Source organism: Homo sapiens, chromosome 3, assembly GCF_000001405.40.
Source record: "Homo sapiens chromosome 3, GRCh38.p14 Primary Assembly".
Lineage (NCBI taxonomy): Eukaryota > Metazoa > Chordata > Mammalia > Primates > Hominidae > Homo > Homo sapiens.
The window spans coordinates 110596449-110619951 of record NC_000003.12 but is presented as its reverse complement, the minus strand read 5'-3'; the positions used below and the strand labels follow the sequence as shown (position 1 = coordinate 110619951).

At 34.3% G+C, this 23503-nt stretch overlaps 1 long non-coding RNA gene across 1 annotated transcript in view, besides 1 other annotated feature; it reads left to right on the top strand.

The window, feature by feature from the left end:
• Positions 1 to 23503, top strand: part of LOC105374037 (uncharacterized) — a 112561-nt gene that overhangs the window by 47342 nt on the left and 41716 nt on the right. The gene's annotated exons all lie outside the window — the stretch shown is intronic.
• Positions 20571 to 21425: an enhancer, noted in NCBI's record as "OCT4-NANOG hESC enhancer chr3:110317374-110318228 (GRCh37/hg19 assembly coordinates)". NCBI's record gives its function as "activates a minimal SCP1, AML or CMV promoter by ChIP-STARR-seq in naive H9 embryonic stem cells {active_cell/tissue: H9 hESC(naive)}" and the evidence as "EXISTENCE:reporter gene assay evidence [ECO:0000049][PMID:30033119]".

The window sequence follows — 23503 nt, the reverse complement described above, 5'->3', positions numbered from 1 at the left end:
GTGTTTTCACATCATACTAATTCTTGGTGTGTCTGTCTCTGATTCTCTTCTTATAAGAACACCAGTCATATTGGATTCAGACCCATTCTAATTCGTATGACCTCATGTTAACCTGATTATATCTGAAAAGACCCTATTTCTAAATAAGGTAACATTTCCAGTTACTGGGAGTTCAGCCTAGTTTTGGGGGGCAACGCCATTGAGCCTGTAAGAGTTGGTTTGAGAAAAGAAGTGGTTTCCAAAAGAATCAGTCTGAAAAAAAATGTTTTCAGCATTAATGTTGTGGGTAGAATCTAACCATAATTTGGGGTGAGATTAGTGATATCTGGAGAAGATAAAAATTCTCACTTTACTGCCTACCCATTTGTCAAGCCTCAGCTTAGCTCTGCCTTTCAATTGATGTCTATCTAGTGACTCTGAGGATCTCTCATACAATAATATTATTTATAACACATGTCATAGTCTTTAATATTCTTCTTACTGTCTCCTAATTGGTTCAAGTGTTTTGATTCTGCTTTCTCCAATAGAACTGCAGTCTTCTGAGGGCAGGCATCTTGGTATTATATTTTTCTGGAATTCTCCTAGAATTTCTATCAAAGTGTTAGAAACATGCAGGATTCTCATAAGCATTTATTGGTTTAAATTGAAATATTTAGGAGCCAAGGTTGATTGGATGGCCAGTAAGTTTGGCAGTGAGTTATTTTTTGGCCAGTTATCTGATCATCTTTCAGGTCACAATAGGTGTTCCTTCTTTTGGAAACTAGTCATCAAGACTAAGGGAAGTGTCCCTCTTGTGAGCTCCTATACCATTCTTACATTCTTAGCTTGTGCTTTTCAAAGTATTGATCATACTGTATCTTAATTTCCTGCTGACTTGTCTGTCACCCTTACCAACACCACGGCAGAGACTGTGCCTTATCACTATTGAATTCTTGGTGCCCAGAATAGTGGCTGGCCTGTAGTTGGCACTTAATACGTAATTGTGAAATTAGTTTAATGAATGACTAAACACCAGGCTGAATATTTTTCTCTCCTCTAACTTAATTTTCCCTATATGTAAAATAAGAGTGGAGAGATTGTGATGCTTTAATAGAACCTGCCTACAATTCATCTGAGGTTAGATAAACTTGGACATGGTTAGACAGCTGTACCAATATATGTGACCTTCTTCCTATGAGGCTTAGAGAACTGTAATTAGGCTATTGGTTTCTGCTGTGGTTCTGGCCAGGTTGGCAGAGGGCTGTACCCTGGAGCAATTTCTATGCCAGTTTTGAGGAGGAATCCAGCTGACATTGTTAAAGTTCAAGTGCACAAAATGCCAGGCCTGACAAGACAAAAAGATATGCTGCTGGTAACAAATAAACAGGAGCCAAGAGGCACAATAGACAACTTCAATCAATTTATTTCCATCTGTTCATATCCACTTAACTACCCTGAGTTTATTTAGAGACAATTATCCATGGCAACAAACTACATCAGTCCCTCTGAGGAGTTTGTAATTTTTCATAAAAAGACTCAATGAAAATTCAAAACCAAGTGATATCACAGTATAATTCCCAAACTAGCTATTGTTAATTACAAAATAAAGTTAAACCTGCTGAAGGGGAAGCAACGTGATGCACTCCACTCTTTATAGTGGTGTTAAGAGCAAGAAGTGTAATTTTCTTCAGAAAGAAACACTCAGGTAGAAGATTATGGATGAAATAAACAAATCATACTTGGCTACTGCTTTGGAAATCCTAAATTTCTTTGCCTTGTCTGAGCAAAGCCAGTATTCATTACTATCAATCAAATGAACAAATAAAAATATTGACTTTCCTCCCCATTGGTGCTTTAGAAAAAATTTCCATGGACTTTTAAAGTGTGAATTTAGTTGCTTCCTTCTATTTAAAGTATTTCACCAACTAATTAGCAGGGTAAGAATGTAGTTCACCTATAAATAAATTTAAGTTTTGAAAATAATCCAGTTTGAAGGTTGAAATTTCCCATTATGCTGGACATTTAAATGTGGATATTTAGCATTATTTAAACTCTATGTACCTGCCAAAATTAACCATCTTCCCTCCTGCTTGGTTTCTTGTGTTTTTTTTTTTTAATTTTATTTATTTTTCTTTTTTTGAGAAGGAGTCTCGCTCTTTTGCCCAGGCTGGAGTGCCGTGGCAAGATCTCGGCTCACTGCAAGCTCCGCCTCCCAGGTTCACGCCATTCTCCTGCCTCAGCCTCCTGAGTAGCTGGGACTACAGGTGCTGCCACTGCACCTGGCTAATTTTTTGTATCTTTAGTAGAGACGGGGTTTCACCGTGGTCTCGATCTCCTGACCTCGTGATCCGCCCACCTCAGCCTCCCAAAGTGCTAGGATTACAGGCGTGAGCCACCATACCCGGCTGGTTTCTTGTTTTACCTTAACTATTTCTGTAGACAGTATCACCAGTCTTCTGGATCTTGACTAGAAACTTTGAAGTCATTGTTATTGCCATCTTTTCTTTTGAATATTAATGGTAATTAGCATTATTTGTATTATTAATCAAGAAGACATAACTCTTTAAAAATGTGTTCTTCACCACGTTTCTAGCACTCATTCCACTCTTTTCACTATAACGGTGACCACTGTCATTTGTGCTCGTCTCATCTCATGCATTAATTATGATAGCCTGCTAATTTCTTTCACTCACTTTGCCACATTACTGATTAATCTTCCTAAAAATATTGATTTAATACTCTAAGTGGTTTGCTAACAATGTTTCTCTAATCAGTTTTTCTACTTCTTTCCATTGTAAATTATTTTAAAATTTTATTTTCTAATTGTTTCCATAACTCAGAATATTTATATCTTATAGGGATAGTCTAGACTAAAAAATCAACTATATCATTATATCTTCTCTGGGGATACTTAATTTTTTAATCAATTTTGATTTCTCATTTGCCCTATCAACTCCAGAGAGTATTGATATAATGCCATTAAAATATTGATTAATTGTTGCTAAACAGATTATTAATCAGGGCCAACCATTGTGGCTCCCACCTGTAATCCCAGCACTTCAGGAGTCTGAGGCAGGAGGATTGCTTGAGTCCAGGAATTTGAGAACAGCCTGGACAACATAGTGAGACACCGTCTCTACAAAAGAATTTAAAAATTAGCTGGGCATGGTTGTGTGTGCCTGGAGTACCAGCTATTTGGGAGGCTGAGGTGGGAGGATTGCTTGATCAAGCCCAGGAGGTCGAGGCTGTAGTGAGCTGTGATTGTGCCACTGCAATCCATCCAGCTTGGGCAACAGAGTGAGACCCTGTCTCTCAAAACAAAAGAAAACCAAACCAAACCAAAAAACATAAACAAACAAACAAAAAACTACATTAACCAAATTTTGGAGTTTTGAGGAAAGGAGTCTCCTGTAAAACAGACAATATACATTCTTTTTTTTTTTTTTTTTTGAGTCGGAGTTTCACTCTTGTTGTCCAGGCTGGAGTGCAATGGAGATATCTCAGGTCACTGCAACCTCCGCCTCCCAAATTCAAGCAATTCTCCTGCCTCAGCCTCCTGAGTAGTTGGGATTACAGGCATGCACCACCACACCCGGCTAATTTTGTATTCTTAGTAGAAATGGGGTTTCTCCATGTTGGCCAGGATGGTCTCGAACTCCCGATCTCAGATCCGCCCACCTTGGCCTCCCAAAGTGCTGGGATTACTAGCATGAGCCACTGTGCCTGGCAGCAATATAAATATTTAAGTGTTGAGAAGGCAATCACTTCAAATGAGTGAAAAATGAAGGGGTGGACCTATGTATAGTTTATATACCTATTCAATTGAAACTGAACACTGTTGATTTGACACATGTATTACTGTCACAACAGTGAAGAGGCATAAATGGTTTTAAGTCATAAAATGATTATAGTTAGTATGTATTTTTCACATTTGAATTACGTTTTATGCTATTTTCCCTGATACCATATACAGTCAATTCACCAAGTAATGCACATTAAATACCTACTGCATCCCAGGTAATGTGTTGGATATAACATAAGTTAATTTTTTATCTGTGTTCACAGCATTTACACAGACATATGCACAGCACATATCTAAATGTATAGTATACTTACATCAGAACAAGCCTTGTATATAAGGCAAAGTCCAAATACTGAGATCACTGTATATATCTAAAACAAGAAAATTAACTCTTGGAATTGATTCAACAGGTGCTAGAATCTCTGGGAAGCCAAATAGCTAGTGAGGCAATCAAGCAATCAGAATTAGCAGGAAGTCCCTATCACCTGGCTAGATAGACAGAGAGGATGTTCCACAGGAACTGGACCACAGTCCATTTGTCCAACAGGAGCTATTGTCATGGAGGAAACATAGCCACTGCTGAAGACACTACAGGAAATAGAGAAGGCGGAGAAGTACCTCAGCTTACTTCCTCATCCTATCCTCCAATCCCCTGCCACTGTCTTCTTATTGGCCAAATCTATCCAGAGGCCCAGAGGCAGAAGATCCTAGGAAATATTATTTCTTGTGGAACAAAAACAGAGCAGGGGAAGGGGGGGATGCACTAAGCTGGAGACTGATAGGAAGCCCTTGGTCAAGTGATGCTATGACTGAGACAGGAAGACTTCTAGATTTATTTGCCCACTCTGGACACTGAAATCCTGGCATCCATTTAATTAAGTTTATCACTGGCATCCATTTAATTAAGTTTCTTTTCAATTTCTGAAAAGTTATTTTAGTTTGAGTTTTCAAAAAGACCACATAAAGATGAGAATTAACACCCATTTTATAGAATTAACTATATGCCATTTATAAAACTGTAGGATAAACAGGTATATATACACAACCACTTTCATATCCTAAACTATAATTATTTATATAATTCTGTTAGTATCTTAAGGACTCCTACATATGATAAACCACCCCATAAGTATTTGTGAAACCCTTAGGTGTGTGTGGCTATGAGAAAAATGTGTAGCTTTTCTATACAGAACCTTAACCCTTAAGAAAATAAACTGTGCCTTATTTGTGTGCATGTGTGTATGTGTGTGTGTGCGAGAGAGAGAGACATAGAGAGAGAGAGAGATGGAGAGAGAGAGAGAGAAAGAAAGAAAGAAACCAGGAATTAAAACCCCACTTTTGTTGAATGAATGAACCATCTAGAAAGCAAAGGAGTAAAAATCAAGATTGGGAAAGGGCTGGAATGAAGAGTGAGCTTTTATTTGGGAAGAATATGTACCAGTTCCAAAACACTGTAGCTGATGGTATCTTCCTTTCCGTCAGCTACCTGGAATAGGACATTAGCAGTCACAGCTTATTTTACTCAAACCATCATCTCTCCAAAAGGAGAGAAGAAATTAGACACTGGATCAATGTTTACTGTTGCCCTAAGCACTGTACGCTGTACTATATTCTTTATCATCTTTGTTGCTTCTTGACAAACTTCTGAAACAGAATGATTAAGCCCAATTGGCAGATAAGAAAATTGATACTAGGAAAAGTAAAGAAATGTACTAAAGGTTACATAGCAAGTAACTGGCTGGGTCAGCTTTACAATTCAGGCATGTAGAGCTGAAAAGAAAATATATAGTCCTCCTGATTTCAGCTCGGGTTGCTTGAAATAACCAAAGTCAGTTAGAGATCTCTGCTTCATATAGCAGATTTATAGCTCTGTTGTCTACATGGTTGCCCTAAACTGTTCTCAAATGTTTAAAATGTTTAACAGGAGGGAAATTTATATTTCAAAATTAAAAAGAGTCTTGTAAGGCAAATTGGACTGTGACTGGATAAGTATTAGTGAGAATAGTTTTAAATCAATGTACCAATGACTGCTTCCAGCTTTAAATAATAGGGTTATTGTTCAGAGGGGCTAAATGCATCATAAATTAGGACAGGTTAGACCACCAAATAGAGAAAAGTGTATTAGAAACAGTGGTGCTGTGAGCTGTAGTCAGATTTCAAAAACTTTGCAATTTTTTCTTAGTCATTTCTTCTAGTCTTCAACTGTTGATAGGAAAAGTGTATTAGTCCATTCTCATGCTTCTGTGAAGAAAGAAATACATGAGACTGGGTAATTTATCAAGGATAGAGGTTTAATTGACTCACAGTTCCACATGGCTGGGGAGGCCTCAGGAAACTTACACTCATGGTGGAAGGCACCTCTTCACAGGGCAGCAGGAGAGAGAATGAGTGCAAGCAGGGGAGATGCCAAACACTTATAAAACCATTGGATCTCATGAGACTCACTTATTATCATGAGAACAGCATGGGGGAAACCACCCCCATGATTCAGTTACCTCCACCTGGTCCCGCCCTTGACACAAGGAGATTATTACAATTCAAGGTGAGGTGGGGCTGGCAAACCATATCAAAAAGCAAAGCTTGGACTCTGCTATTTTGTGGAGGGGTGGCTCCACAATTCTCCCATCAGATCACCTCATCTTTGTTGCTTATGTTAGATTTATAGTAGAAATTTTTTTGTGAAAGGGTCCTGCTGCTAAACAAAAATGCTTAAATACCACAAATCTAGAACATTATTGAAGGTTGTAGAAAAATAACTGAAATGGGAGTTGGGGGACTCAGGTTCTTATCCTAGCTTTGTTTCCTAGAGTGTGAGAAAATTATTTAACCTCCTGTATCTTTCACTTCTTTATGTCAGTTGAATCAGAATCTAAGCATCCTATTAATTAAAGTCCTCCTAGCTTCTGCATTCTGTGCTATATGCATGGGGAGATGCATTTTGCAGCATAAATGGATGACTTTTTATTGTTATCTCTTAGGGAATTTTTAGTTTTTTTGGCACCGGTAATATTAGAGGATGATTGAGCATGGTGTTCTAGCTAAAGGTTAGCAGCATTTTGAGGTGTGGCTGTGAAATGGTATAAGCACAAGTTAGTTCTAATTGCTTCATATACCAGTGAGTTAGCATGAAGGTGTCTGACAAACTGACAGTACTTCTCTTTTCTACAGCTTATAGAGAGGACCATGGACCTTATTAAAATTATCTGGAACCAAGATACCACTGTCAGGCTCCTTTTGTAGAAAACCCATAATTTATTTATCTTTTGACCCATCTTGAAGTCTGGGACCTGGGATAATTACTCCTACATATCCATAGTGGAGGAGAGATTTTCAGGGTTGGGACCAAGGGAGCCACGGACCCTGTCGCCAGTTGGTGCTGTGATCCATCAAACCCACCAAACAGATGCCCATGTCTACATTCATACACTAAACTTTACAGAGGCGTATCTGGCTATACCCTTGAAGACGCTATTTTACTCTAAGAATTTTATTCAGTGTGAGGTCTTTTGGAAGTGATTTGCATGAATCTTAGTGGAATTTTTTTTCAGGAGCTACACTTATGATAGAAAATTAAACGACTCTTGCAGATATGCAAATCTAATTATTTTTCTCCTGTTTCCTTTTTTTATTGACAAAGGTATCCAGGAAGCCTGTAATAAGAAGCAAGTCTAGAATGTAAGCTTCTGGAACGTAGGGGACTTATTTGCCAGTCTGGGATACAGAACACATAAAAAAAGCTTTAAAATGAAGAATGGGCTCTGGCTTCAAAGGATCGTGTTAGCAGGTGTTTGTGATCCAGGAGAAGCTCCGAGTTTGGGGAAAGAAACACAAGATAGAATCTAGTTTATTGATTGCTTTCTAAACGCTTCACAACAGAGTAGTAGTAAGGAAGAGGCACAAATATTTGCTTATTTGTAGTTTACTACTACTACAGTTATTCGACAAATATTTATTGAGCTGGTATTGTGTGCCAGGCATTGTTCTAGGATCTGAGGACATTGTGTGAACATGACCTTTGGACAATGTTTTTACATTTATGGATATTATTTTCTTGTGGGGAAAAGGGAAACAAATAAATACTTCATGACAAGCTACAGATGTCAGGTGCTGATAATGCTCCAAAAAAGAAAAAAAAAAAAACAGAGCAGGGTAAGATGGTAGTGCAAAAGAGTTGAAGGCTAACATTATGCAGAGTGGCATTAGGAGTTCTGAGTGAAGAGATGACATCTAAGCAGAGGTCTGACAAGATGGGAAAGCAATAATATGGATATTAGGGAAAGAATCATTGTAATTTTTTACTACTCTTATGTTAACATTGCTTGATCTGATCATTCTATTTTATTCACCTGGAATATCCCCCTCCTTCTCAAATTTTAGCATTTAAGGGCTCAGTTCATAACGTATGTTGGTTCTAGACAGTCTTCAGTAAAATCCTCTTTTTGAATGTACTTTCCTTTCATGAGCCTAAAGATATCCTTCTAGATTTTTACTGTGTAATTAATTTTTTATTTTTCCTGGGGAAAAACAGAATTAATAAATGTGACAATAAAGTGTACTGCGTAAGGCTTTCTACAGCTTTTCTCAGAAACAAAATATTGTAATAAGTAATCTTAGCAAAATAAGGGGAGAAGATTCTTTGTACAGAAACTTTTCTTAGATCTGTTAATGCATATCCTTAAGAGTAGGTGAAGTCTAACCCACTGGAACTTCCTCAAGTGAGGGTACAAATTTAGCACTGGATGTAATCACTTCCCATCATTCCTCAGCAAGTGTAGGTAGTATCTTTGAACCCATGCTGAAGTGACAGGCAAACCCTTATCTCCTTCCCCAAGTATAAGAGAAAGAGTATTTTGAGCTCCTTGGACTTTATAAAAGCACTTTTATTGAGGTATAATTAACACAAAATGAACTGCATATACTTAAGATGTACAATTTGATAATATGTGACATATATATATCCATGAACTCCCCACCACCACAATCAAGATAGTGAACATATTTATCACCTGAAAAAGTGTCCTTATGCCCCTTTTTAATCAGTACCATCTATTCTTCCTATCCGCTACCTTCAGGCATCAGTGGATCTCCCATCTCTCACCAGAGATTCATCTGCAGTTTTTAGAATTTTATAGAAACTGCTTCTCTCACTCAGCATAATTATTGTTGAGATTCATCTATGTTATTACATGTATAAATAGTCCATTCTTTTTATTGCTGATTGGTTCCTTGTATCAATTTACAAGTTTGTTTATTTATTCACTCAAGATGGATATTTGGGTTGTCTTTAGTTTCTGTAAATTACAAATACATTTTTGTAAATTACAACTATGATAACAAATATGCAAATGCTATAACATCAGTGTATAAGTCTTTGTGTGGGCAGACATGCTTTCATTTCTCTTGGATGAATACCTAGGAATGAGATGGCTGAACATATGCTAAGGGTATATCTGACTTCTTAAGATACTCTCAAACTGTTTTCCAAAGTAGTTGAACTACTTTACATTCCTATCAGCAATGTATGATACTTTCAGTTCTTCCACAAACTTGTTAACACTTGGAATCATCAGATTTTTAACTTTAGCCATTCCACTAGGTGTATAGTAGTATCTCATTATTTTTTAAATTTGCATTTGCTTAAGGACAACTGATGAACACTTTTTGTGTGTGCATATTTGCCACTCGTATATCTTCTTTGGTGAAGTGTCTCTTCAAACCTTTGGTTTATTTTTTACTGAGTTTTTTTTAATTGAGTTTGGAGCTTTCTTTGTTATTCTGGAAAGAAGTCCTTTACCAAATATATGATTTGTAATATTTTCTCCAAATTTGTGACTTATGTTTCCATTCTGTTAACAGTGCCTTTCAGAAAATAGAAGTTTTACATTCTAATAAAGCCCAAATTATCTATAGTTCTTCTATGGATGATGCATTTGGTGTTATTTCTAAGAAATCCAAGCCTAGTACAAGCTTACAAAGATTTTCTCCTATGTTTTCTTTTTGTTTTAGGTTTATGACCGTTTTGAGTTTAAAAAATATATAGTGTGATGGATATAGTGTTAAAGTTTTTTGGTTGTTTATTTTGCTTATTTGTTTTTATTTTGGCATATGCATATCCAGTTGTCTAAGCAACATTTGTTAAAAGGCTATTCTCTCTCTGCTGAATTGCCCTTGCCCCTTGTTAAATTTTATAGTATGTGGGTCTATTTTCGACTATATTCTATTCCATGTATTTGTCTATTCAAATTATTTGCCCATTTTGAATCACCTTGTTTGTTTTTTCTGTTATTGAGTTTTAGGAGTTCTGTGTATTATTAATCCCTCATCAGAAATATAATTTGAAAATATTTTTTCCTATTCCATGGGTGACCTTTTTACTCTCTTGATAGTGTTTTTGATGCAAAAACATATATGTAAGAGTTTATTTCTGAACTTTCCATTCTATTCCATTTGTCTAAATGTCTGACTTTATGCTACTACCATATTCCTTTGATTACTCTAGTTTTTTGGTATCTTTTAAAATCAGGAAGTGTGAGTCTTCTAGGTTGTTCTTCTTTTTAAAGACTGTTTTGGCCATTCAGGAGTCCTTTGACATTTTACACAAATTTTAGGATGGGTTTTTCTATTTCTGCAAATATGGTCATTGGGATATTGATAGGGATTAAATTGAATCTATGAATCACTTTGAGTAATATTGACATTTTCACATTTTTAAGTTGTCATATCCATAAACATGGCATGTATTTCCAACCATATATGTCTTCTTTAATTTCTTTCAGCAATGTTTTGTAATTTTATTGTTGATGTCTTTTATTCCTTACATTAATTTATAAATATTTTATTTTTTAGAATTGTTTTATAATTTCCATTTTTATTGTTCATTTTTAATGCATAGAAATGCAACTGAATTTTGTGTGTTGACTTTGTGTTTTGCTACTTTTCTGAATTCATTGATCTGTTTTAGGCATTTTTTGTGGAATCATTTGAGTTTTCTACATAAAACATAACATCTGTGAAAAGAGATAATTTTACTTCTTTCTCTTTTACTTGGATGCCTTTGTAAATTTAATTTTTCACCTTTCTGATCCGGCTAGAGTTTCCAGTACTGTGTAGAACAGAAGTAGTAAAAGTAGATATCCTTGCCTTATTCTTGACCTTAGATGAAAAGCTTTCAATCTTATACCATTGAGTATGTTGTCCACTGACTTTTTCACATATGGCTTTTCTTATGTTGAGGTAGTTTCCTTTCATTCCTAGTTCATTGAGTACTTTTATAATAAAAGAATGTTAAATTTTTTAAGTGTTTTTTTTCTGCATCAAATGAGATAATCATGTGCTTTTTCCCCTTCCTCATTTTGTTAATGTGGTGTATGACATTGATTTATTTTTGTATGTTGAATCATTCTTGCATTCCATTCTTGCATTCCATTCTTGCACTTGGTCATGGTGCAATCTTTTAAATATACTGTTATATTCAATATGCTATTATTTGTTAAGAGTTTTTGCATCAGTGGCCTTCAGGGACATTGGTTTGTAGTTTTCTTGCAGTGTCTTTGTCTGTAGTTGGTATCAGGGTAATATTGACCTCATGGAATGAGTTAGGAAGTGTTACTTTATCTTCAGTTTTTTTGAGAGAAGTTTGAGATGGATCAATGTTAGTTCTTTAAATGTTTGGTAGAATTCACCAGTGAAACCATTAGCTCCATGGCTTTTCTTTTTTGGGAGTTTTTAAATGAATGATTCTATTTCCTTACTAGCTATAGGTCTATACAGATTTTCTGTTTTTTCATGAGTTAGTCTTGGTGGATTTTTGTATTTCTAGAAATTTTTCCATTTTATCTTCATTATCCAATACATTGGTGTATAATTGTTCATAGTATTCTCTTATAATCTTTTTATTTAGGTAGAATTGGTAATAATGTTTCCACTTTCATTTCCAATTTTAGTAATTTGTGTCTTCCATCTTTTTAAATCTTTATTTTTAAATAATAGAGATGGGGTCTCACTATGTTGCCCAGGCTGGTCTTGAACTCCTGAGTTCAAGTGATCCTCCTGCCTCAGCCTCCCAAAGTGCTAGGATTACAGGCATCAGCCCCCATGTCTGGCCACGTCTTCTCTCTCTCTCTTTTTACTTTGTCCATCTAGTTAAAGATTTTTCAATTTTGTTGATCTTTCTAAAAGATCAACTTTTAGTTTTATTGATTTTCTTGAGTGGTTTTCTATTTGTATTTTGTTAATCTCTGCTCTAATTTTTACTACTTCCTTTTTTTTCTGCTAGCTCTGAGTTTACTTTGTCCTTCCTTTTTTTCTAATTCTTTAAGTTATACATTTAAGATGTTGATTACAGACTTTTTTTTTTTAAATGTAAGCCTTTATAGCTATAAATTTCTTTCTTATCACTGCTTTCTCTGTGTCTCATGAGTTTTGGTACATTACGTTTTCACTTTTATTCATTTTTAAGTATTTTCTATTTATTCTTGTGATTTCTTCCTTGATCCATTGCTTGTTTCCATGTTGTTTAATTTTTACCCCATCGTGGTTGGAGAAGATACTTCATAAGACATCTATATTTTAAAATATATTGATACTTTATTTGTGGCCTATCATATGGTCTATCCTGAAAAAAATCTGATGTATACTTGAGGAGAATATGTATGTTATTTTTGTTAGGTAGTGTTCTGTATGTGTCTGTTAAATCAAGTTGGTTTAATGTGTTGGTTAAGTCCTGTATTTCTTTCCTTACCTTCTGTCCGGTTGTTCTACCCATTGCTGAGAAAGTAGTGTTGCAGTCCTTAACTCAAAATGGATTAAAAACGTAAATGTAAGACTTGAAATTGTGAAACTACTAGAAGAAAACATAGGGGAAAAGCTCTGTGGCATTGACATGGGCAGTGATTTTTGTGGATGTGACCCCAAAAGTACATGCAACAAAAGCGAAAATAGATAAATGGGATTATACAAATTAAAAGCTTCTGCACAGCAAATAAAATGATTGAAAGAATAAAAAGATGACTCACAGATTGGGAGAAAGTATTTGCAAACCATACATTTGATAAGGGGTTAATATCCAAACTGTGTAAGGAAGTCAAACAACTAAGCAGCAAGAAAAGGAAGAACTTGCTTAAAAAATGTCTAAGTACCTAGAAGAGACATTTCTGAAAAGAGCACACACAAATGGTCAATATGTAGTTGAAGAAAATGCTCAACATCACTAAACATTAGGGAAAGACAAATTAAAACCACATTGAGATATCACCTTACACCTGTTAGAATAGCTATTATCAAAAAGACAAAAGATGAGTGTTGAAGAGGATACAGAATAAAAGGAATCCTTGTACATTTTTTGATATTAATGTAAATTGGTATAGCCGCAATGGCAAATTGTATAGAGTTTCCTTTAAAAAGTAAAAATACAACTGCTATATTCCCCAGAAATCTCACTTCTGTGTATATAGCCAAAAGATTTGAAATAAGTATGTCAAAGAGATATCTGCTCTCCCATGTTCATTGAAGCATTACTCATAATAGCTAAGATATGGAATCAACCTGGGTTCCTCAAAGAATGAATGGATTAAAAGAATATCTATATATATTCAAAGGAATTTATTCAGCCTTAAAAAAAGAAGAAGATTCTTTCATTTGCAACAACATGAATGAACCTGAAGGACATTATGTTAAGTGAATAAGCCCGGCACAGAAAGACAATGCCACATGATCTCACAGATATGTAGAATCTAATATAGTCAATCTTGTAACAGTACAGAGTTAAATGATTTTTACACTTGGCTGGTGGTGATGAGGAGAATGGGGAGATGTTGGTCAAAGTGTATAAAGTTTCTGTTACATTGAAGAATAATTTTTTGAGATCTACTGCACACATCATGCATAGTGTATTGTGTATTTCAAAATTGCTAAGGGAGTACATTTCAAACATTCTCACCCTAAAAAATGGTGGATGAGGTGATGAATATGTTAATTGGCTTGACTTAATCATTGTGCATTATATACAGATAACATCACATCTTATACTATAAATATATACAATTATAACTGGTTAATAAAAAATAAAAATATAATGTTCTTTGTTATCTCTTGTAGCTTTTTTAGGATTTAAAGTGTATTTTGTCTGGTATTAGCATAGCTATCACCTGCTGTCTTTTGGTTGCATTTGCACGGGACATCTTTTCCATTATTTCACTTTCAATCTATTTGTGCCTTTGTGTTTAAAGTGAGTCCTCATAAATAACATTATGTTAAAACATATTTTTTAAGAAATTTATTCTTACAATCTGTCTTTTGATTGGAGAGTTTAATCTATTTACATGTAAAATAATTACTGATAAGGAGGGACTTATTCCTGTCATTGTGCTATTTGTTTTTCAGATGCTTTATAGTTTTTGTCCCTCATTCACTGCATCAATCTCTTCTTTTGTGTTTAGTTTATTTTTTGAAGTAAAATGGTTTAATTTCTTGCCCATATTCTTCGTGTATGTTCCATTGCTATTCTGTAAAGAGTACATTAAACATCCTAAAGTTACAGCACAAATTTCAACTTATGCCAGCTTAACTTTAATAAAATATAAAATCTCTACTACTTTACTAATCTGTCCCCACCCCTTTCTGTTATTGATGCCGGAAAATGATACTTTTACTCATTGTGTGCCCTAAAACATAAAGTAATAATTTTCACGTACATTAGAGTCCTCAATTTTGTGAAAACCAAAATGTAGGTATAAACCAAGGTTATGATACTAGATTTTAGACTAATAATTATATATATTTATATATATTATATGTATTAGTTTCTTAAATCATGTAGAAAACAAAAAGTAGAATTGCTAACGGTTGTTAGAATAATACCAGCTTTTACAATTGTACTTGTATTTACCTTTATTGAGATCTTTGTTTCTTCATATGGCTTTGAGCTACTGTCTAGTGCTCTTTCATTTCACCCTGCAGAATGCCCTTGAGCATTTCTTGCAGTGCAGGCCTATTGGTAATGAACCCCCTTAGTTTTTATCTGAGAATGTCTTAATTTCTCTCTCATTCTTGAAGGACACTTTTGCTGGAGATAGGATCCTTGCTTGGCAGACTTTATTTTTTTCTTTTACCACTTTAGATACATCAGCCCACTGCCTTCTGGTATGCAAAGTTTCTGATGAGAAATCTGCTGATAATTTTATTGTTGATCCCTTTTATATGGTGAGTTGCTTCTCTCTTGCTGCTTTCATGATTTTCTCTTTATGTTTGAGTTTTGAAAGTATTATTATAATGTGTTCCAGTCAGTCTCTTTGAGTTCATATTACTTGAAATTTGTTGAGCTTCTTAGATTTCTGTATTAATGCCTTTTATCACATTTGGAAAGTTTTCAGCCATAACTAATTTAAATATTTTATTTTCTCCTTTCTTTTTCTCATCTCCTTTTGGGACTCAGCAATGTATATGTGGGTCCACTTGATGGCTGTCCTATAGGTCCCTTAGGCTCTGTCCACTTTTCTTTAATCTTTTATCTTTTGCTTCCTCAGACACTATAATTTCCACAGTCTTATCTGTGAATTTGCAATTTTTTTTTTCTGCCTACTCAAATCTGCCTTTGAATCCTTGTGTGTATTTTTCATTTTGGTTATTCTATATTTCAGCTCTGGACTTTACTTTTGGTTTCATACTTAGGTTACCTGTCTCTGTACTGATAGTTCTATTTTGTTTATATATCAACATCTTCCTTTAATTTTTGAAGCATTTGTAAGACAGTTGTTTTAGAATTTTTGCATAATAGGTCTTTTTCAATGACAGTTTCTGTTTACTTATTTTTTCTTTTATATGTGACATGCTTTCCTATTTCTTTGTACGCCTGTGACTTTGTCGTTGTTGTTGTTGTTGAAAACTGGACATTTAAATTTAATAATATGGTAATTCTGGTAATTAGGTTCTCCCAATTCTCCAGAGTTTGCCCTTATTTTGTTATTGCAGTTGTTTATTTATTGTTTTTATTTTATTTTATTTTATTTATCTTTTATTGTTGTAGGCTTTTTTTTTTTTTTTCCATGCCAAGGATCAGCTTGAGGTGTAAACTTAAGGTCTTTTCACGTGTTTTCTGAGCCTGCGTCTTTCTCTGGGCATATATGGTCACTTTCTAATTTTCCTCATATAAGTAGTTGCTTCTTAGTGACCTAGTCTTTAACGTTTGGTACCAAAAAGGGGGGGAAATAAAAAAATAAAGAGGGGCTGGGAGCGGTGGCTCATGCCTGTAATCCCAGCACTTTGGGAGGCTGAGGTGGGCAGATCATGAGGTCACGAGTTTGAGACCAGCCTGGCCAATATGGTGAAACCCCCATCTCTACTAAAAATACAAAAATTAGGCTGGGGGCAGTGCCTCACGCCTATAATCCCAGCACTTTGGGAGGCCAAGGTGGGCGTATCACGAGGTCAGGAGATCGAGACCATCCTGGCTAACACAGTGAAACCCCGTCTCTACTAAAAATACAAAAAAATTAGCCAGGTGTGGTGGCTGGCACCTGTAGTCTCAGCTACTCGGGAGGCTGAGGCAGGAGAATGGCGTAAACCCGGAAGGTGGAGTTTGCAGTGAGCCGAGATCGCGCTACTGCACTCCAGGCTGGGCCATAGAGTGAGACTCCGTCTCAAAAAAAAAAAAAAAAAAAAAAAATTAGCCCGGGGTGGTGGCGGGCACCTGTAATCCCAGCTACTCGGGTGGCTGAGGAAGAGAATCGCTTGAACCTGGGAGGCGGATGTTTCAGTGAGCCGAGATCGTGCCATTGCACTACAGCCTGGGTGACAAGAGTGAAAGTCCATCTCAAAAAAACATATAAAAATAAAAATAAATAAATAAAGAGGGAGAAAAGGCACTGGCCCTTCATATTTTCTAGAAGTCACTTCGACCAGAGAGGGAGGGATTTGGAACAATTGAGGGAGGCGTAACAATGGCCACCTTCCTCTTTGTCTGCAACTCTGTGAGCATAAGGAGCAATCAGTATTCAGAACTGATACTCAATATTTGAAGAACAAAGGTTCTTTTTGCCCACCCTGGCACCCACAAACTGTGTGCAAACTGCTCCTGGATTTTGCGAACAGCTGCTTGTAATGGAGGTGGAGGTAGGGCATGGATAGCTGCTATTGTGGTAAGAGTTAAAACTGACTGGAACTAGATGCAACTTACCATGTAAGCCTTCCTCTGGAGGTTGCAATCTTTCAAAAGACTCCAGAGTTTCAAAATAGTCACATCAGTGCAATTGTTGTCTAGGTTGGGAGAGGGATTCCTGGTGCTTCTTCCGCTGCCATCTTCCAATAATTGTTTATTTTTCTATTTTTATGACAATACCATACTGCCTTTATTGCTGTAATATGACAAGAAGTCTTGAAACAAGAAATTATTCGTGCTTTTAAAGTTATTTTAAATATTCTCTGCCTTTTACATTTCCATATGAATTTTAGAATTAGCTTGTGACCTTCTTTGAAAATGTTCATGGAATGTAGGTTGCAATTGTCTTAAAACTATAGATTAATTTATCAATAATTAGCATTATAAAAATAGCAAAATTTTCTAGCACATTAAAATGGTACATATTTTTACTTCTTTAAAGGTCTTCAGTTTCTCTCATGTATTGTAGTTTTTAGTATACAGGTCTTGTACATATCTTGTTAGATTTATTCCCATGTATTTTACAGTTTCAATGCTATTATAAATGATATTTTTAAGATGGAACCTTCCCATTGCATTTTGCTAATACATAGAAAAATAATTGATTTTTGTATAATGGTCTTTCATTATGCAAACTTGATTAACTCACTTATTGGTTTTAGTAGTGTTCTTGTACATTGCATAAAATTTTTTACATAGACAATCAGGATGTCTGTGAATAAAGACAATTTTTTTTTCCAATCTGGGTGCCATTTATTGATTGATTTAGGCATTTATTTATTTATTTGCCTTATTGTATTGGCTAGGACATTCAGGACAGTGTTAAATAAGACTTTCTTATTCCTGATTTTAGGGGGAAAACATTCAGTATCTCAGGATTACTTCTGATATGAACTATGTTTTTTGTATATTCCTTATATCAAGTTAGGAAGGATTTCAATCAGAAATAGATGTTGGATTTTATCAATGTTTCTTCTGCATTACATGAGATGATTATATGGTTTTTCTTTGCTTAGACTGTAAATATGGTGAATTATACTAATGGATTTTAAAATATTAAACCAAGCTTGCTTTCCCAGGAAAAAACCCCACTGGGACATACTGCATTTTTCTTTTAATGCATTATTGAATTTGACTTACTAAATTAATAAAAATAACTTAAATATCTATAATCATGAAAGATGTTGGTCTTTAGTATTCTTTTTGTGGTGATGTTCTCTGATTTGATACCAAAGTACTACTGGTCTCATAGGAGTTGGCAAGCATTCCTTTCTCTTTAATCTTCTGGAAGAGTATTTGTAGAATTTATATTTTTCTTTCATAAATATTTTGTAGAATTTATTAATGAGGTCATTTGGGCCTAAAGGTTATTTTATAGGAAAAATTTTTGCTATGAAATAAATTTATTTAATTCATATAAGGCTATATGGTTTATTTGAACTTGTGTATTGTAAAAAATTTGTCCACTTCTTCTAAGTTGCTGAATTTATGACTATAAAGTTGTTCATAGTATTTCTTGATTTTCCTTTTAACCTATGTAAAATCTGTTGTGATTTTTCCCATCTCATTCCTGACCCTGATAATATGTGTCTTTTTTTTTAATTTTTGATGAGTTTAACTAGGGGTTTATCAATTTTTTTGATCTACTCAAAGAGCCAGTTTTTGGTGTTATTGAATTTCTCTATCATTCTGTTTTCTCTTTCACTGATTTGTCCTCTGATATTTTTCTGCTTTTTAAAATTTTCTTTTCTATTTCCTTAAGGTAGAAGCTGAGAGTTTATTTCTGGTATCTTTCTTCTTTTCTAACATAGGCACTCTATGTTATAATTTTCTTTCTAAGCACTGATTTAACTACATTCCATAATTTTAACATGTTTCATTTTCATTCATTTCAAAACACTTCCTAATTTTCCTTTTGTTTTCTTCCTTGAATTCTGAGGGTTACTTGCAAGTGTTTTATTTGGTTTCAAATATTTGGATTTTCTCCCAGTTTCCATTTTTGCTGAGCCTCAAACCTAGAATTTTGTAAAACTACTTAATGGAAGGTGTTGTGGATTCATCTCTTTTCTGGTGTCCTGGAGCTTCTTTCTCAGTGTTTATAGCTTAAATTTAGAAGGGAAAGGATGAGCTGATTTCTACATGTGGCCGTTGTGGTGGAAATTCTTTTCTCCCACCAAGAACAGTTATTAATGTAAGTAAATAATTAAAATTATTGATTATTAAGCTAAACAATTTCTAAATCATTAATAAGTTTATAATTATTACATAAAACAGATATTTAAAGGCATAAGAAAATAATTAAGAACTTAAAGATTCATGAAAGAATTAAGTTTTCATGGCAGAAAGACTTAAGGGTCCAAGATTACAGAGAAAATTTATAGCAAGCATTTTTGATGTTGCACCAATTTCATCAGCACACTCATCTCTAAGTTTTGAATGTATCTGCGACTTTTTGCCTGCAAGCTTCGTCTTATGGAAAAATACATTCGTTTCATGTATGGGCACACTGGAAACTCTGAATATTCAACTCTCCCAAAGCAACTCTCATCTAGTAATGGTTAAGGTATTAATATATAATTGACCTCATTTCTTTTCAGTTTGGTTGGCATGTCTCTAAGACTTAATCTATACTTTCCATAGTTTCTGATCATACTCTATCTATCTTCCAGGATAAAATTAAATTCTCCCATAAGAAAGATTAAAATTCCAGAAGTCTACTAGTCTTTATTCCATTCTTTTTCCTCTTATTCTTCTAGAATTTTTCAAATAGCCATGCATTTCAGGAAGGAAGACCAAATAACTGAAAGCCAAGAGAAGAGAAAATAACAGAAACCTAAGTTTAAATGATTAATTTACTAGTATTATTATGCATTGGTAGACAAAAGTAGCTTAACTGCTTACTTTATTAAAAAAAAAAAAGATGAAGGCTACAGAATGGAAATGTAAGACCAGAAAACGTTTTTAAATTAAAGAAAAACCAAAAAATGGAAAAACAGAAGAGAGGATAAGAGACTACAAGACATATGAAAAGGCCCAACATATATGTAAGTGGAATTCTTGATGGAGAAAAGAAAGAGAGAGAATGGGAAGGAGCAAGTTTTGAAGATAGAATGGTCAAGAATTTCCCAAAACTGGTTAAAGACATGAACCCAGAGATTTAAGAAGTTTAGTGACTTCCAGAAATTATTAATACAAAGAAAAGCACACCCAGACATATTATAATAAAATTACTGAAAGCTAAAAACAAGAGATCTTAAATGCATGCAGTTATAGAAGTAGTGAATGCTCATTAACTTCAATGAAGCAAAAATATATCAACAATGTATATTGTTTGGAAAAATAAAGGGAGCCAGAAGACAAATAATCCCGTGTTTAGAGAACTACAAAAATAACTGGCAACTTGGAAAATTATACTCAATGATAATATTCCTCAAAATGAAAGTGATGAAGATGTTTCAAATTAACAAAAACTTATTCCTATGTGATACATATGAAAGCATACACTAAAGACAGCTCTTTAGGCAGGAGAAAAATAATCCCAGACTGAAATACAATGACAAAAGAAAGAATGAAGAGCAACAAGAAAGCTATTTATGTGAGTGTTGACAAAAAAAACCAAACTGTAAATTATTTAAAGAGGTTTATTCTAAGCTTCATATTTGAATAATTTTGGCCCATGACACAGTCTTAAGAGATCCCAGGAATGTGTGCCCAAGGTGGTTTGGTTACAGCATGGTTTTATACATTTTAGAGACAGAAGTCATTGGCAAAGACATAAATCATGTAAAGTATACATGTAAAGTATAAATTGGTTGGGCCTGGAAAGGTGGGACATCTCAAAATCAGGACTTCCAGGACACAGATAGCTTCAAGGATTTTCTGACTGGCCATTGGTTAAAAGAGTTAAGCTTTTCCTGAAGAGTTTAAGTCAGCATAAAGAAATGCATGAGTTAATGTAAGAAGGGTTTGGAAGCCAAAGTTCTTGTTATGTAGATGAAGCCTCTAAGTAACAGGCTTCAGAGAGAATAGATGGTAAATGTTTCTTATGGCACCTTAAAAGGTGTCACACTTTTAGTTAAATCTCTCTTGCTTCAGGAAAAGACCTGGAAAGGGAAGGGCATTCTCTATAGAATGCAAATTTTCTCCACAAGAGAAGGCTTTGGATGACCATTTCAAAATATGTCAAAGAAATATATTTTGTGTTAGAATGCTTTTATTTTCTTTAGAACCTGCTATCTGTCATGTGATGTTATACCAGAGTCAGGTTGGAGTTTAGTATCTCATTTCTACAAAGAGTCTGTTTTGAGGGTCTTATGATTGCTATTTTAATGTTAATGCTGGTCAGTTGTGCCTAAATTCTCAAGGAAAAAGTATATAAGGAGGCATGTTTGACCTGCCTTCCCATCATGGCCTGAAGTAGTTTTTTAGGTTTTATTTGAAATTCCATTGACAAAGATGAGAAGTGTATTCAGTCAACTGGGGGACTTAGAATTTTATTTTTGGTTTACATGAGTAAATGTGAGTGAATACTGACTACTTAATGTGATATTAATAATAATGGCTTATGGTGTTGTGTGTGTGTGTGTGTGTGTGTGTGTGTGTTTGTATCTATGGTTGTTCTAGCGTTAAAAGGGCAGAGTTGAGTATTTGTGACAGACCATATTGCCCTCAAAGATTAAAATATTTACTATCTGGTAAATCACAGAAAATATTTGCTGATCCCTGTGGATATTCTTACTATTTACAAGGCTGATTAGTTGTGATGGTTTAAAGCAAGGGCTATCAACTCATGATTTGAAAGCCAGCCATGCAATTTTGTCCATAGGTAGGGCCAGGTAAATTAACATATCGCTGTTTTAGGTCTAGGTCTAGGTCCTGGAATTAGTGAAGTCTAGTGGATGAGCTTTTAATAGAAACTAGGAGATTCTACTTAGTTGAAGGCTAACTGGCTTTGATAAATTAATTTTCTTTCTAGAACTGCTTTGTCTGTAAAAAGAAATATAATAACAATATCTGCCTGTTTCAAAGCTTGCATAATAAAGATGATAAATATAAATAATCTTAATTATACTAAAATTATTAGCATTGACTTTGCATTGAAATAGAAATAGAGGTACGTGGCAAAATGTGAATACAAATGACTAATCTCTACATGACTTCTAAATTGGTTCTTGTTTGATTTATTTCATCCATTTTAGTTGATCTTTTCTGCAATTGATCAGAATAATCATATAATTAATTTGACTTTTAACAAAATCTCTTATATTGTCTTTAAGCCTCCATCAAATTATGCTCCTTCTTCTTTCATCTTTTTTTTTTTTTTAACTCTGATTTTGGCTGCTTTTTATTGAACACCTACTGTGTGCCATGTATGGTATGAAGTACATATTATTATCATCCTCATTTTTTTTTAGAGGAAAACACTGATATAAAATATTTTAAGTATTTTGTCCAAGTTTTCAAAATTCTTAAGTGGAAAACTGAAGTTTAAACTCAGGTCTTTCTGAATTTACAATGTACAGTATTGCTATTCATTTTCTACCTCTCTTCTAGAATGTATTGCACTTTGTGTTTGAGACTCATGCCTTATCCCTCTACATGTTTTGCATGCCTACCCAGATCAATGCTTTGCACAGGAGAAAGCCCATAATAAAAATAGTAAAAATTAGTTTGTATCAACAGATTTAAATAAATGAATACAATGGTTTTCTTGGGTTAAAAATGGGAAAGTTCCCTGGGCAAATAGGTTTAGAAAATTTTAGTTTGAACAGATTTTCCTAAAGCAGAAACCTTCAGAGGTTTTAAAAAGAAAGGTATAGCATTCACCGAAGATGTTTGAGTACAGTATTTTGAGTAAACATCTTCTTGGACTTTGGAAAAGTTAAAAATAATTTATTTAAAAAGATTCAAAAATTGTTGATAAGTTATAGTTTTAAGCAGAAAATATTAAATTTTATTCAACAAGCAAACATTTCCATCAATTTAGGGATTGTCAAGAGAGCAGATCATAATTTGCCATTAAGTAATGATCTATAAAATCAATATTTCTACTAACTATGACCTTTAGACTTTTGGAACAAATTCCCCATTAATGCCTATGAACTACATTTTATACCGACATCAAAATAAATATATCATTAATGACGTGGTGGAAGAAAAACAGAAATACCTAGACCAAGTTAACCTGTTACAAAATGGGGAGGGAGGGGCAGAAATCAGCAGCAACCACTGGTTTAGAAAAAATAATACTTTGAGAGAATTGTATTTTCCCCTATTCTCAACCTCTGGCCTAACCATATCTGGAATATAAAAACTCCAGTAATACAAACTTATGCCAATTACATCTCTATTTAACTGGATGATGTGTATTAGAGTGTATTCAATTATTTTGAATACACTAAACTGTTAGTGCAGTAACAATAGATATGTTCATTTTAAAGGGAAATAATCAGAATATTTTTGTTTGATTTTACTGACAAATCAAATGGTGATTTTGGTATTTCATAAGAATAACTTCAGATACTTGCTAAATTTTGAACTAAAAATTGCATGGGGCAAATAAGGAGTGG